Here is a 17,091-nt window from a genome sequence, read left to right on the forward strand (position 1 = left end):
AGCTCACATCCAGAGAAAGAACAAAGCCATGTCAAAACCGCCTGTGATTCCTTGAGTGTTTTTCCAGCTACCCACCACCTGCCCACCGTCTCCTCTCGGACCTCAGCTTGGGCTAGAATCTGACAATTGGTGCTGTAAGCAGGATCATGAGGTGAGTGAGCCTTTGGTCCCTGCTGATTCCAGGTCGGCCATGTGGCCAGAACATGGGCTGTGGTACCCAGTGGCAGCTGTACTGCTCGGATGGGCTCTGGTGGAAACCCGGGCAGTGGTAGATGGGTCATGCTTCAGTGCACAGACAAGGCACTGAAGCAGCTGGAAGCACAGAGCACCAACAAGGAGAGAGCCTTCGAGGGCTGGGTCTGTTGTCTTAGCTGGAGATCCCCACTCAGTCTGATACCGTGGAGGAAGGACCCCTGTTGTGGGCTTGCTCAGTGGCCTGTCGGAAGGTAAATCATGAACAGCCATTGGGGCCCCAAGGGTGGGCTCAGGGACACCCCTCCCCCAGCTCCAGGTAGCTCTCTTCTTTGTTAACCGTGCAACGGTTTTGTCATTTGAGCTAATGGGGCACAAATGCCCCCCAATATCCCAGGAAGCCCACCCGAGTGGTAACACAACACAATTCATATATTTCCTATACCCCAACTGAGTTGCAGGAATTAGGCAAGTAGTGCCGCCAGTGTCCAGGGGAACCCCTGCCCAACTGCATGCTTCATTTGTGGGATGAGGGAGCAGACAGTATCCCTGTTCTGCCTCTGGGATGGAAAAGCTGGCCTCCATCATGACTCCCCTCCCTCCTTCAGTGGTTGCAAGTAAGCAGGTGGCTAGTGGCAGGGCAAGGTTACCACACCCTGATTGAGTGGCTTTGGGCAGCCATATGGACTGTGTGAAATGACATTGGTGAAATAACTGAAACTGTGAGTAAATGGCAGTCATATGCTGATTTGGTGCAAGTCATCTGGGCGATGGTTATATGGCAGGCTATGTTTGACCTGAATACCCGGGGGCCAGGTGATGAATGTTTACCTCTGCACCCCCGAGCACCTTTGGCTTCCTAGCTGCTGTCCTCACCCTGTAGGTAGGGCACCGCATACATGAAGTGACCACTGCTATAGCAGCTCTCGGGGAAGCAGAAGGCCATCGGTGGGACTGAGGGGTCCACACCATAAAGAAGAGGAAGGTGCCCTGCCCACAGGGGGCTCCCGCATGGGCAAAAAGGGGGCCCCAATGAGTGACACACTCACAGATGTGGGTAGATTTGATTTTGTCCAGGGTTGACTGAGAGAAAATCAATAAACTGCCCAATGAAGTATTCTTAACTTTGTGGAGACACTTGTCTCCAGAGAAGCAATTCTGGAAAATACCAAGGGGAAGAAGGACATTGCTGCGTGACCCATTCCCGCCCAGGTGCTCCAACTCAAGGACTACTTGCTGCAGCCAGGCTGAAATGTAGAGCCTTTTCTGTTTGATTAGGGAACTGGCCAATGTGCCCAGCTTGGGGGGACACCAGATGACCAGTGGCCACATGTAGAATTAGCAATTCACTGGTCCCCCACTAACGTACAGCGGGTGTCAGTGCTGGTAGATATTGGCACAGATTGTAGCCTTGTGTATGAGAATCAGATAAGTTTCTGGGCAAGGCTGTTACATTTATGTTTATGGAGGCTGGTTACTGAAAGTGAAACCTGTGTCTCTGTACCTCGGCATTGGCCACTTGGCTCCCTGTTTATATACTGTGTATGTCTCCCCCATACCTGAATACATCCTGGTGGTGGACATTTTACATGGCCTGGCGTTACAAACTACGGCCAGGGAATTCAGACTCCTAGTGCATCTGGTGAAGCTGGTGCTGCAAGGACATAGGCATCACAAGCCTCAGGTCCTGTCACAACCCCAACTGGTTACTTCCACCCATCAATACCATTTGCTGGGTGGGCATATGAAGATAACTGAGACAATTTAAAAGCTGGAGGAGGTGCAGATAGTGTGTGGCATCCACAGCTCCTACAATTCTCCAGTGTGGCCAGTTAGAAAGCTTGATGGAACTAGGCGGATGACGGTAAACTATCAGGAACTGAATAAAGTAACACCCGCTTTGAGTGCAGCTGTACCGTCAATCATGGATTTGATGGACTGCTTGACAATGGAACTGGGACAGTACCACTATGTGGTGGACTTGGTCAATGCATTTTTCTCCATCGACATTGCTCCAAGAGCCAGGAACAGTTTGCCTTCACGTGACAAGGGCAACAATGGACTTTTACAATGTGGCCGCAGCGCTATGTGCATAGCCCCACCATATGTCATGGTCTTGTTGTCATGGATTTAGCCACTTGGCAATGTGCAGAAGGGGTCCACCTATTCCATTATATTGATGATATGTTAACCTCTGATTCTCTTGTAGATTTAGATGTGGCGGTGCCTCTCTTGCAGCAACATTTGGCAGCATGCAGTTGGGCCATCAATGAATCCAAGGTCCAAGGGTCTGGATTATCTGCCAAATTATTGGAAGTTTCCTGTCTAGGTAAGATGATGGCCATACCAGAGGCTATTATTGACAAAATTCAGGCATAGCCCTGGCCCACCACGGTGAAGCAGCTACAAACTTTTGTGGGCTTCCTGGGATACTGGGGGGCATTTCTGCCCCATTTAGCTCAAATGACAAAACTGTTGCACGGTTAACAAAGAAGAGAGCTACCTGGAATTGGGATATGGCTGAGACCGCTTTCCTGGCAGCCAAGTGGGCTATTCAGCAGGCACAAGCCCTATGGGTAGTTGGCCAGGGGCACCTGTTTGAGCTGGATGTGCATGTGAGCACAGATGGTTTCAGTTGGGGCCTGTGGCAGCATACAGAGTGCCTGAGAACACTAGTAGGCTTTTGGTCTTAACTGTGGAAAGGAGCTGAGCTCCAACAGTCCTTGATAGAGAAACAGCTAGCAGCTGTATATGCAGCATTTCAGTCTTGTGAAAGTGTGACAGGATGGGCTACAGTCATCATGTGGATGGCTTACCCAATAGTGGGATGGATGTGTTCATGGATAATGCCCCCCTGGACTGGGATGGCACAGACATCTACTTTGGCAAAGTGGGGCACCTACTTGGAGCAGCAAAGTTTGCTGAGTACAAGACCCTTGGCAGCAGAATTGCAAGAGGTCTTGGGACCTATAGTCCTAATGCAAGAGAAGGCTATAGGGCCTGGGGCACCCCTAGACCCCAAGCCATCACCGTTTAAGGAAGGGTACCCCCCATTCCTGATGGGGCATGGTACACAGATGGGTCTAGCCAAGGATCTAATGCTGCCTGGACCGCTGTTGCAGTCCAACCTAGTACAGACACCATATGGTTTGAAACCAGGTGTGGGCAAAGTAGCCAATGGGCTGAACTTACAGCAGTATAGATGGTGATCACTAAGGAGCAGATATCTATGGTGATTTGTACCGATAGCTGGGCAGCCTACCGAGGCTTAACCTTGTGGTTAACTACTTGGAAAATACAAAATTGGCTAGTCAGCCACTGACCTATGTCATGGAGCCAAGTGATGTGGCAAGACCTCTGGGAAATGGATCATCAGAAAGATGTAATTATTTATCATGTGTCAGGCCATATGCCTTTGGCCACCTTTGGCAATGATGAGGCAGATGTCTTGGCCAAGGTCCAATGGTTAGTCGGCACCAACACAAGATGTGGCCTTCTGGCTACACCAGAAACTGGGACATGCCAGGGGCAAACTGATGTAACAGGGCAATAAGTGTTGGGGTCTGTCCCTGCCCATGCAAGGTATTTGGGAGGCTCGTCAGAAATGCCCAGTATGTGCTTGGTCATACCCTAAATGGAGGCAGCTGCCCACTTTTACACAAGTGACAACAGGGCGAGTGATCTTGACCAGGTGGTAAGTAGACTACATCGGTCCGCTGCCAAAATTGCAAGGGTATACACATGTGCTAACAGCTGTGGACATGGCCACAAGCCTGTTGTACATCTACCCTTGCAGGGTGGCCAACCAACAGCACATCCTCCGGGTCCTGCAACACTTATGTGCCCTGTATGGTTGCCCTCTGGCCATAGAGAGTGATAGAGCACCCATTTCACTGGACAACAGGTACAACAATGTGCACAACAAATGGACATAAAGTGGGGATTCCATGTGCCATACAACCCACAAGCTGTGGGTATGATTGAGCAATATAAAGGGCTCTTGAAGAATGGGTTACACTTGCATGTCACACCCGTCTTTGCAGTGCTGGAGTTCCAAGCTGGACCTGGTGGTTCAAACCTTGAATGAACAGCCATGGAAAGACCGCCCAGCCCTGGTGGAGGCTTTATTACACTGGGCCACCACCCCTATTCAGTTGCAGATACACACTAAGGATGACCTCCTCCGACCAGGTATGGGGACGAACGGTAACCTTTTGTTGCTTGCCCCAATGCCCCTGAAGGGAGGGGAACAGAAAACCTGGCTCTGGCCATGGACCCTCCAGGCTCCCCACTGCTGGTGGTTGGCCGTTGTAGCTCCCTGTGGGGAAGACCTACAGTATGACTTGCATGTCACTCCTTGGGCATTCAATACATGTCACCCTTGGTTGATTGTTCTTAGGGCAACAGCCAGGGAAGAAACGCTCCTCTGGGGGACATAAGTACTGTCTGTGTGGCCTATTATGAGCTTCCCCTTGACTTTGGCATAGATACCGGACCCATAGGAACCATGGGGAGCTGAGAAGGTGTGGTACCATCGCCCAGGGCAGAAGCTCTTGGCAGCTGCATTGTTATCCATGGATGAAAAGTTAGCCTGTATTTTGCCTGAGGGACGTCACTTACCTCTGTTAGTAGCTGTGCCTGCTCTGTCATTTTGGCCATAGGTTAACATGCTCCAACTGCATTGTAAACTGCGCCCACACCTGTGCTGAGGTGATCAATGTTTCCAACTTTCGGGTCTGCACTGCCCTTCCAGCAGCAGCTGCAGATGACTTGCCTTGGCATATACATTCAGTGTCTACAGAGAACTGGACATGGCTGGAGACTTGGGGTCCCGTGGTTGACATCTGGAATGCAACGCAGCAAGCTTTGGACAAAGGACGCTGCAAGATCCATGGTGCTCCCATCATGTGGCTGGCCCATAGCATTTATGATGGCTGGGGCTGGCTAGCGGGGGAACATGTAGTACCCCCAGCCCAGGTGTCGCAGAGCATAGAGCAACACTGGGGTAACACCACTGTGGGATAGGTACCCATCACAGCCTGTGTAAACATAACACATGTCACCATACTGAAGGTATGCTGGAACAAGCAGCCCCCAAGTTTGGGCCCCAAGGGACTTTGTGCCCCCTGGGAGTTTATGGGTCTGTGGGCACACAGGGTGGCCTTACCTACCAGTGAACTGGACGGAATGTTGGAACTGGGGGTGGCCACTGTTCTCTCCACATTGCCCAGACACTGCATAACTGGAAGGCGCTACACTCTCATTTTTTGTGAGTGCGACGAGCTCCCCAGTGGTTCTACCCCTTGACAGTGACTATCCCTGCGGCGGGTGTCACAACTGTAGAAGCACAAGTTACTGCTCTTGCAGAGCACACCACTCGGGCTCTGAATTACACCCAAGTGGCCCTCCTCCTGTTAATGGATGAGGCTGGTCAGATGAGAAAGGTGGTATTGCAAAACTGAATGGCCTTAGACATAGTAACCTGCTGCACAAGGAGGCACCTGTGCCCTTTTAGGAACACAATGTTGTACCTTTATCCCTGACAATTGGCAGAACATAACAGCAGCCCTGCAAGAGGTCTCATGGGAGATTAAGGTGGTGGAGAGCCTTACTGACAACCCCCTGCAGAGATGGTGGGCATCTCTGGGCTGTGGCCTACGCTGGGCCCTTACAGTCCTAAGTAGCATAGCTGGGATCCTGGTAATGAGCTGTTGCTCTCTGTAGTGTTGTGGGTTATGGATTCAGGGCTCCACCCTATGGGCACGTATCCCTACCTGAAAGACTCCTCTCAGCCTAGGGGATGGAGTGTAAGGGAAATGGCTGCATTTTAGTCAGGAGTAGGCTGAGGCAGCCTTCTGGCACAGCATGACTCAGTGGGTTTGGAACGCAGGCACACAACTCTACACATTATGTAACCATGCCACGTGAGGCACATTAGGTGACCATTCACATGAGCCTGTGCTTGGCTGGGATCCATTATTGTCTCTAAAAGGTTTAACTACCCTGCTGATGCTGTACATATGGCTCGCGCCTAGAGAGAGAATAACGCCATGTCAAAACTGCCTACGATTCCTCAAGTTTTTCCAGCTACCTGCCACCAGCCCACCAACTCCCTTTGGACCTCAGTTTGGGCTAGAATCTGACAAACAGTAACAAATAATTCTTTTTTCTTGAGTTCAAACCATGAATAATTATTTACTCTGCATTGTAATTATAGGGTTGTCATTCAGAAGACAAAGTCTAGGCAAATGGCAGGTATCTTCTAAGGACTAACATTTTTAAGTAATAATGCTCATTTATAGACATTGCTGGTAGGCTCAGGAGCTGTTATTTTGTTGATCTTCATTTTGTTATTTTCTTATCATCAAATGTTTTATTTATAACACTATTATATTTTTTTCTTTCTTTCTTTAAAAGATGTATTTCCTCAGGAAGGAAGGTTTAGGACTAACTGAAAACTCCCATTTCGTAGGTAGATGATGAACTGAGATAATGGTTAAGTGACTAGTTATAAAGTCTAACCCAGTAGAAGTTTCCAAAGTCTCTCTGTGAATTGTTTTGTTAGCTATTTATGAAAATTATGGTAGACAAAACATTGAAAATAAAACTGCAGGGCCACAGAACACCTTCTGGTTATAAATACTTGAACTTTATCTGGGGTTATTTTGTGTGTATGTTTTCATGCCAAGGGAAAAACTCCACAATCCTAATAGATGGAGTTGTTTTCCTACTAACCATATATCCAGTAATGGACTTTACCCTCTTTCTTCTTTTTGATACAGAGCAATTACACATACATATGTGTGTTGCTTCTGAAAAGATCATGCACCTTGCTTCCTGCAGATTGGGTATCCATGGATACCGCAAAGAGTTTCCAAAGAAACACTGCCTAGAATTTTCACCATGCCAGCCTCGAAGGCCTTCAAATGGAAAGTGACATTTGAATTAAAGGGACAAGCATCATTGCTCCACACCAAAACACTGGGCAGGTTTGCAGAAATCGTATTCTTTTTTGCACTATTCAATGTAAAGGCAGACAGGGTGGATTATTTATCCTATAAAAGGGAAAAGAGAGGAAGAAATCGGGTTGATATATTCCCTACCTGAGGCTCAATGACCCCAGTTCCTATTTATATTTCTCACCTGATGATACATGCTTTTACAATAAAGGTCTCAAGATTTATAAGTCAGACAGGGAAAAATATACAAAGGAATACAAGTTGCATTTTTATATGCCCCGGTTTATATCTCTAAATGACAAAAAGTATTGGGAAGAGGGGCAGAGCCTATTAGTAGGTTTACAAGCCTATGATTAGAAGTCTGAAGCAGTCTGCAGTGAAATTCAAAATCTGGCTCAAGAGAGTAAATCTGAATAAGGCAGCAATTTCATCTGGGGAGAGAATACATCACTAGTACATTTTCTTTTCTGGATTCTTATCACTAAATCAGCTGAAGAATCTGTTCTTAAAAGCAATCATAATGAAATTTTCTATTATTCAATGAACCTAGCCTTCGGGGATATCGGTAATTAAGTCAGAATAAGATGATTTTAAATCTCCAATAAATATTCTAATATTTTAGGTGTTTAATATTTATTTATTTAGTTCATAAACAGGCACTGCCACCTCCAGTGTTCATCCATGGCACTTTCATGACCGCTTCCTGTTCTGTGGCTTCTTTTAGTGCCCAAGTTGTATCACATTTCTTGCTGAAGTTCAGACAATTGAAAACAAACAGACTCACATCTAGGGAAATCAACAGACCAACAATGGCAAAACACAATACAATGAAATGGAAAAATAATGTTTGTTACAGGAGTGCAGCAATTTAGAGAGTGTCTCAGGAGTGTGGCTCACTGGCAGCTGCAGCTATGTTAGTGCTTCTTTCTGCCTCAAGTTCAGAAACAAGCTGGACTATCTCAGGGTGATTGAATTTTCCTGCAAAGCAAAAGAACAGGGAAAAATACATTCCCATATTGACAAGAGAGTATATTCATTTCCCCAGCTTGATCCCAGGGTTCACTGGGGGCTCTAGTCTACGATCTGACCCACACTTCATTCCAAAGCAGAAAGAGATTCCAGGTCCTGGGAAGGGGCTGAAGGGGACCACTTGGCATTTACGCTCTGTCACCCCAGGTGCAACTGAGAATAAGGATGAGACTCAGGCAAGGAATCATCAATTAGGCAGAGGTAGGGGAAACTTCACCAGGCTCCTCAGTGCCTCTACCAGGAACTATGGGAAAACTCAGGTGTGAGAGCCCAGAAAGCTGAAGACAATCTCTGCCCATTCCAAACCTGCAATTAAGTAAGGAGAATGAAGCACCTATATATGAAAAGACAAGGAGGAAGATCAGAGGGGCTAGGCTGGCTCATGATGTAAACAAGGATGCAGGTGTCTCTCTTGTAAACACCTCTACACTTCAATTGGCTGATCTGTGCTGTCATCCCTGCTCCTCAGACCTCCCCAGATTTCTGCTTTGGTAGCAACCAAGCTCTAAGCTATTGTATGTCCATGACGGCTAGCATGGGGGACTGTTCAACCCAACATCTCTTCTCTCACCGTCTTTTCTTGCCTGTGTCTGTTGTTGCTTACTGTTCATTCCACATTAAACTCTATTCCATTTATTTCCTATCCTCAGCCTCTTACCCGAATGTTTCCTTCCCTTTCTTTTTAGATGCTCCACATGAAAGGGTCAGATGAAGGTACCAACAGTGGGTTTCCCTAATATTAACATTAGTCACTACACTGAGTAAGCCAAACTAAAATGGACTCTTGTTGAAAATGGTGTTGAGTACCTGCTGTGGAATCATAGAAGTCTTGCAGTCTCCCAGGTTTGTGTTCAAGGTCTTCATATTCAGATGCTTGAAGAATCATTTCACATTGGTCTAGCTGCTTCACAAATTTGGCTTCTGCACTAGATTGGGTCTCGTACTCCTAAGTAAAGGGACAATTAAAGCAGCATGATTAGCGCTGCATAATAGGGTATCCTGGGAAAATTCTGACTCTGGTACCCGAAATCAGAGTGACAGCTACAAGTACATTCTGTATCGGCCCCATTTCTCTACTGTTTAGAAATCCATCAGAGACACTTCTGTAATTTCACAGCCTAACACCAGGACTCTATACAAGAAAGATGTGCTCTCCATTCTAAGTATTCTACCAGAAGCCATGGAAATCTTGTATGTTCATCTTAGGTACTTTCAAGATCTTTTCTTCCTGTTTAATACCGTGTCTTCATTTTAAGACCATTGTTCTTTAATCTACCTAAGTAGTTTAGATATTTTTAACATCAAGCTGATATTTCGTCTTATGCCTCTCAAACCTGTATTTCCCTCTCCATTTCATGTCAGGTTTCCTTGTCATTTCTAAGTGTATTTCTAGCTTTATCATTTACTTTTGGTTACCACTTTACCTGGGAATCTCTGTGCTTACTTTCCACATAGGGTAGATTTAATTAAGTCCCTCTGAGTTAAGACTATTGAGGATAGAGCCAAGATCTGAGGATTTTACATGCACCGGTATGTGCATGTGTTGCAGGTGGGAGGTGGTGAATGTGGTGGGGGGAGCAGTTTTTTTACCTTTCCCTTCCCACTGGTCCCTCCCTCTGCAGTGCAGACTTGGAACAAGAAGCTCCAGGAGTTCTGCTTCTTATAGAATGATGCATGCCACCCAACCACAAGTCCCAATTAATACTATATAGATTCATTCTCCTATTAAGAACAAAGTGCTCCCAACTGGTTTCCCTGCCAAGTTCTTGTTTGTAATTCTACCCCAGATGTGTTCAGATAACAAACCTGTCATGGTTTCTTGGCAGGGTGATGTGATATGAATCAATTAAAGGTTTCTTAGTTTTTATTACACGCTTATTCTTATAAAGGCAGCTACTTGGATTTGATAAAGCTGAGAACTGTATGGGGGAATCATTTAAATATGGAACCAAATACACTTTGCTTTATCTCAAAGGCACTTAAAAATAATTTCATTTTATTTGTTTATTCACATTCACAGTTATATATTTATGTTTAATAAATTCAAGTTCATGATTTCACAAAAGGAAATGGAATACTCCAAGCATAGCAGTCTAGAAATTTTTTTTTCTGTTGAAAGTGAGAAAAATATTTAAAGACCATTAGGAAATACAATACATCTTATTACAAGTTCTCATGAACTTACAGATTTCTTTTAAAAGAAATATAAATTATTGAAATTTTCCCTCAAAAATTAATGATATAGGCATTCTTCAATAAAAAGGCAAAGCACACAAAATAATACTACAGACAGAACTCTAGGGGTGAGAAGAATGCATGGCATTTGGAGAAATTATTGCAAGTAGCTTTTAATGTCAGGAAGAGTTAGGTTCAGATTTGCATTTCAGAAAGGTCACTCTAACTACAGGTGGATAATATCTGGATTGGAAGCAGAGAAATCAGATTCTAAGACTTTGTAGCACTAGCAGAGACGTTATAGGAATCTGGTCTAAGACAGTAGCAGTGAAAATGGAAAGAAGTGGTAGGATTTAAGAAATATTAAGGATAAAGAAGTGAACTAAAATATAAAAGTAAATGAGAAGGAAAAGTGAAAATGACTGCCTAGTTTCTGGTTTGAGTAACTAGGTTCATGATAAAATAGTGAGCAAAAGAGAAGAAACAGACAAAACCTGACACAGCAAAGAAACAGCAAAACCCAAACAAAAACTGGGAGACATGACATTCCCATCAAGTCCAAATATGTGCAAGTAGAGACAAACCACCTCCAGCCATAAGCCCTGCATGCCATCAGCATGGGAGTAAGAGAGGATTAATGTCTGATGGACCTGAGAATAGGAGAATCTCAAAAGGGCCAACAGGTATTCTCTAGAAATCTCACATTTTAAGAACAGTAGTTGACACTGGGAGGGATCTTGCCCACTCCAATAGTGGATGAGCACAAGGAGCTTACATCAAAGACAGCCCAGCCCTAGTGAATTTTCCAATCTGACCTGCTGGGGCTGCTTTCCAGGAGAGGGCCCACATGAGGAGAAACTGCTGGGAAGAAAATCAAAATTGAGTGGGATACAGATAACACAGATGAAGAAAAGACCCAGATAAAAATGGGGAAGGGGAACGAAACCAGGAGGACATCTCTAAAAGAAAGCCACCATATTTTTTTAATGCTACATTTAAAAAAAACACAACAACAACAACAACAAAAGCAGAAGCAGCTCTGTGAAGTTAAAAATGCAACTTGTTCTCACCACAAAATATAGTATGTGAGGTAATGCACATGTTAATTAGCTTGCTTAGCCATTCCACAACATTTATATATTTCAAAATACCATGTTGTGAGCCATAAACAATTTGTCAATTTAAAAATAAATAAATTAAAAATAACAAAGAAAAAGAGCAATTTGAACTAAATTTCCTTTCCAAGTTCAGTAAAACTAATTGCCAATCAAAATAAGCAACAGAAAAGCACAAAGGTCAGATCCTATACAGCTATCCCATAAGATAAAAAGAATAAGAAGCAAAATAACATCTCACAGGCAATTTGTGTCAAAAAGACATATCAAAAAGATAATTACATTTTAAAAAGAGAACTCGAATCTATATTTCAAAAAGAGATAAAAGACATTAAGAAAATGATACAAGATGAGATTCCCGGGCAAGATGGCCGAATAGGAACAGCTCTGGTCTGCAGCTCCCAGCAAGACCAAGGCAGAAGGTGGGTGATTTCTGCATTTCCAACTGGGGTATCCGGTTCATCTCACTGGGACTGGTTAGACAGTGGGTATAGCCCATGGAGGGCGAGCCAAAGCAGGATGAGGTGTCGCCTCACCCAGGAAGCGCAAGGGGTTGGGGAACTCCCTCCCCTAGCCAATGGAACTCATGAGGGACTGTGCTGTGAGGAAGGGTGCATTCCGGCCCAGATACTGTGCTTTTCCCACAGTCTTTGCAACCCACAGACCAGGGGATTCCCTTGAGTGCTTACACCACAAGGGCCCTAGGTTTCAAGCACAAAACTGGGCAGCCGTTTGGGCAGACACCGAGCTAGCTACAATTTTTTTTTTCATACCCCAGTGGAACCTGGAATACCAGCAAGACACACTGTTCACTCCCCTAGAAAGGGGGCTGAAGCCAGGGAGCCAAGTGGTCTTGATCAGTGGATCCCACCTCCACAGAGCCCAGCAAGCTAAGATCCACTGGCTTGAAATTCTGGCAGCCAGCACAGCAGTGTGAAGTCAACCTGGGACACTCGAGCTTGGTAGGGGGAGGGGCGTCCGCCATTTCTGAGGCTTGAGTGTAAACAAAGCTGCTGGAAGTTCCAACTGGGCGGAGCCCACCACATCGCTGCAAAGCCGCCGTAGCAAGACTACCTCCCAAATTCCTCCTCTCTGGGCAGAGCATCTCTGAAAGAAAGGCCGTGGCCCTAATCAGGGGCTTATAGATAAAACTCCCATCTCCTTGAGACAGAGCACCTGAGGGAAGGGGCAGCTGTGGGTGCAGCTTCAGTACACTTAAATGTTCCTGCCTGCCGGCTCTGAAGACAGCAGCAGATCTCCTAGCACAGTGCTCAAGCTCTGCTAAGGGACAGACTCTCTCCCTGACCTCCATGCTTCCTGACTGGGAGACACCTCCCAGCAGGGGTCGACAGACATCTCATACAGGAGAGCTCTGGCTAGCATCTAGGGGGTGCCCCTCTGGGACGAAGCTTCTAGAGGAAGGAACAGGCAGCAATCTTTGCTGTTCTGCAGCCTCTGCTGGTGATACTCAGGCAAACAGGGTCTGGAGTGGACCCTCAGCAAACGCCAGCAGACCTGCAGAAGAGGGGCCTGACTGTTAGAAGGAAAACTAAGAAACAGAAAGCAATAGCATCAACATCAACAGAAAGGACAACCACACAAAAACTCCATCCAAAGGTCACCAACAGCAAAGACCAAAGGTAGATAAATCCACAAAGATGAGGAAAAAACAGCGCAAAAAGGCTGAAAATTCAAAAAAATAGAATGCCCCTTCTCCTACAAAGAATCACAATTCCTTACCAGCAAGGGAACAAAACTGGAGGGAGAATGAGTTGGACAAATTGACAGAAGTAGGATTCAGAAGGTGGGTAACAACAAACTCCTCTGAGCTAAATGAGCATGTTCTAACCCAATGCAAGGAAGCTAAGAATCTTGATAAAAGGTTAGAGGAATTGCTAACCAGAATAAACAGTTTAGAAAAGAGCAAAAATGACCTGATGGAGTTGAAAAACACAGCATGAGAACTTCGTGAAGCACACACAACTATCAGTAGCCAAATCAATCAAGGGGAAGAAAGCATACCAGAGACTGAAGATCAATTTAATGAAATAAAGTGTGAAGACAAGATTAAACAGAATGAAAAAGAACGAACAAAGCCTCCAAGAAATATGGGACTATGTGAAAAGACCAAATGTTTGACTGGCGTACCAAAAAGTGATGGGGAGAATGGAACCAAGTTGGTAAACACACTTCAGGATATTATCCAGGAGAACTTCCCCAACCTAGCAAGATAGGCCAGCATTCAAATTCAGGAAATACAGAGAACACCACAAAAATACTCCTCAAGAAGAGCAACCCCAAGACACATAATCAGCAGATTCACCAAGGTAGAAATAGAGGAAAAAATGTTAAGGGCAACCAGAGAGAAAGGTCGGGTTACCCACAAAGGGAAGCCCATCAGACTAACAGCAGATCTCTCTACAGAAATCCTACAAGCCAGAAGAGAGTGGGGGCCAATACTCAACATTCTTTAAAAAAGGGCTGGGCACGGTGGCTCATGCCTGTAATCCAAACACTTTGGGAGGCCCAGGCGGGCAGATCATCTGAGGTCAGGAGTTCGAGACCAGCCTGGCCAACATGGTGAAACCCTGTCTCTACTAAAAATACAAAAATTAGGCAGGCATGGTGGCGGGCGCCTATAGTCTCAGCTACTCGGGAGGTTGAGGCAGGAGAATTGCTGGAACCCGGGAAGCGGAGGTTGCAGTGAGCCGAGAGTATGCCATTGCACTCCAGCCCAGGCCAATAACAGCCAGACTCCATCTCAAAAAAAAAAAAAGAAAAAAGAAAAAAGAAAAGATTTTCAACTCAGAATTTCATAACCAGCCAAACTAAGCTTCATAAGTGAAGGAGAAATAAAATCTTTTACATAGAAGCAAATGCTGAGGAATTCTGTCACCACCAGGCCTGCCTTACAAGAGCTCCTGAAGGAAGCACTAAATATGGAAAGGAAAAACCAGTATCAGCCACTGTGAAAACAAACCAAAATGCAAAGAACATCGACACTATAAAGAAACTGCATCAACTAATGGGCAAAATGACCAGCTAGCATCATAATGACAGGATCAAATTCACATGTAACAATACTAACCTTAAATGTAAATGGGCTAAATGCCCCAATTAAAAGGCACAGACTGGCAAATTGGATAGAGTCAAGACCCATTAGTGTGCTATATTCAGGAGACCCATCTTACGTGCGAAGACACACACAGGCTCAAAATAAATGGATGGAGGAAGATTTACCAAGCAAATGGGAAGCAAAAAAAAGCAGGGTTGCAATCCTAGTCTCTGATAAAACAGACTTTAAACCAACAAATATAAAGAAAAGACAAAGAAGGGCATTACATAATGGTAAAGGGATGAATGCAACAAGAAGAGCTAACTATCCTAAATATAGGCTTCATCTTTGGGATGCAAGGCTGGTTTAACATATGCAAATCAATAAACATAATCCATCACATAAACAGAACCAATGACAAAAATCACATGATTATCTCAAAAGATACAGAAAAGGCCTTCGATAAAATTCAACACCTCTTCATGCTAAAGACTCTCAATAAACTAGGTACTGATGGAACATATCTCAAAATAATAAGAGCTATTTATGACAAACCCACAGCCAATATCATACTGGATGGGCAAAAGCTGGAATCATTCCCTTTGAAAACCGGCACAAGACAAGGATGCCCTCTCTCACCACTCCTATTCAACATGTTATTGGAAGTTCTGGCCAGGGCAATCAGGCAAGAGAAAGAAATAAAGAGTATTCAAATAGGAAGAGAGGAAGTCAAATTACCTCTGTTTGCAGATGTCATGATTATATATTTAGAAAACCCCATTGTCTCAGCCCCAAAACTCCTTAAGGTGATAAGCAACTTCAGCAAAGCCTCAGGATACAAAATCAATGTGCAAAAATCACAAGCATTCCTATACACCAATAATAGACAAACAGAAAGCCAAATCATGAGCAAACTCTCATTTACAATTGCTAGAAAGAGAATAAAATACCTAGGAATATAACTTACAAGGAATGTGAAGGACCTCTTCAAGGAGAACTACAAACCACTGCTCAAGGAAATAAGAGGACACAAACAAATGGAAAAACATTCCATGCTCATAGATAGGAAGAATCAATATCGTGAAAATGGCCATACTGCCCAAAGTAATTTATATATTCAATGCTATTCCTATTAAGCTACCACTGACTTTCTCCACAGAATTAGAAAAAAACTACTTTAAATTTCATATGGAACCAAAAAAGAGCCCACATAGCCAACACAATCCTAACCAAAAAGAACAAAACTGAAGGCATCACACTACCTGACTTCAAACTATACTACAATTCTATAGTAACCAAAACAGCATGGTACTGGTACCAAAACAGATATATAGACCAATGGAAGAGAACAGAGGCCTCAGAAATAACAACACACACACTTACAACCATCTGATCTTTGACAAACCTGACAAAAAACAAGAAATGGGGAAAGGATTCCCTATTTAATAAATGGGAAAACTGGCTAGTCATATGCAGAAAACTGAAACTGGACCCTTTCCTTACACCTTATACAAAAATTAACTCAAGATGGATTAAAGATTTAAACGTAAGACCTAAAACCATAAAAACCCTAGAAGAAAACCTAGGCAATACCATTCAGGACATAAGCATAGGCAAAGACTTCATGACTAAAATACCAAAAGCAATTGCAACAAAAGCCAAAATTGACAAATGGGATCTAATTAAACTAAAGAGCTTCTGCACAGCAAAAGAAACTATCATCAGAGTGAACAGGCAACCTACAGAATGGGAGAAAATTTCTGCAATCTATCCATCTGACAAAGGGCTAATATCCAGAATCTACCAGGAACTTTACCAAATTTACAAGAAAAAAACAAATAACCCCATCAAAAAGTGGGCAAAGGATATGAACAGACACTTTTCAAAAGAAGACATTTATGTGACCAACAAACATATGAAAAAAAGCTCATTATCACTGGTCATTAGAGAAATGCAAATGAAAACCACAATGAGATACCATCTCACGCCAGTTAGAATGGCAATCATTAAAAAGTCAGGAAACAACAGATGCTGGAGAGGATGTGGAGAAATAGGAATGCTTCTACACTGTTGGTGGGAGTGCAAATTAGTTCAACCACTGTGGAAGACAATGTGACGATTCCTCAAGGATCTAGAACTAGAAATACCATTTGACCCAGCAATCCCATTACCGGGTATACACCCAAAGGATTATAAATCATTCTGCTATAAAGACACATGCACACGTATGTTTAATGGGGCACTATTCACTATAGCAAAGACTTGGAACCAACCCAAATGCCCATCAATGTTAGACTGGAAAAAGAAAATGTGGTACATATACACCATGGAATACTATGAACGCATAAAAAAGAATGAGTTCATATACTTTGCAGGGACATGGATGAAGCTGGAAACCATCATTCTCAGCAAACTAACACAGGAACAGAAAACCAACCACCATATGTTCTCACTCATAAGTGGGAGTGGAACAATGAGAACATACGGGCACAGGGAGGGGAACATCACACACTGGGGCCTGTCGGGGGGTGGGGGGCAAGGGGAGGGATAGCATTAGGAGAAATAC

General features: G+C 44.3%; 1 protein-coding gene and 1 long non-coding RNA gene across 4 annotated transcripts in view; one reads left to right on the plus strand and one right to left on the minus strand.

The window, feature by feature from the left end:
- On the plus strand, positions 1–7,806 carry LOC124901395 (uncharacterized). The gene is made up of 2 exons (XR_007059736.1): positions 1–151; positions 2,402–7,806. It is a non-coding gene; the product is annotated as an uncharacterized LOC124901395 (long non-coding RNA).
- HDDC2 (HD domain containing 2) overlaps positions 7,236–17,091 on the minus strand; it is a 26,618-nt gene continuing 16,762 nt past the window's right edge. For 2 of the 3 annotated variants that reach the window (NM_016063.3, XM_024446450.2), the window contains 2 exons: positions 8,988–9,126; positions 7,236–8,129 (listed from right to left, as the gene is read on the minus strand). In NM_016063.3, coding sequence (NP_057147.2) covers positions 8,032–8,129; positions 8,988–9,126 — 237 coding nt within the window. In that variant the 3' untranslated portion in view covers positions 7,236–8,031. Of the gene's footprint in view, positions 8,130–8,986; positions 9,127–17,091 lie in introns of those variants that run through there. The other variant, XM_047418850.1, reaches the window with a different exon arrangement.

The sequence above is a fragment of the Homo sapiens genome, chromosome 6 (genome assembly GCF_000001405.40).
Source record: "Homo sapiens chromosome 6, GRCh38.p14 Primary Assembly".
Taxonomy (NCBI): Eukaryota; Metazoa; Chordata; class Mammalia; order Primates; family Hominidae; genus Homo; species Homo sapiens.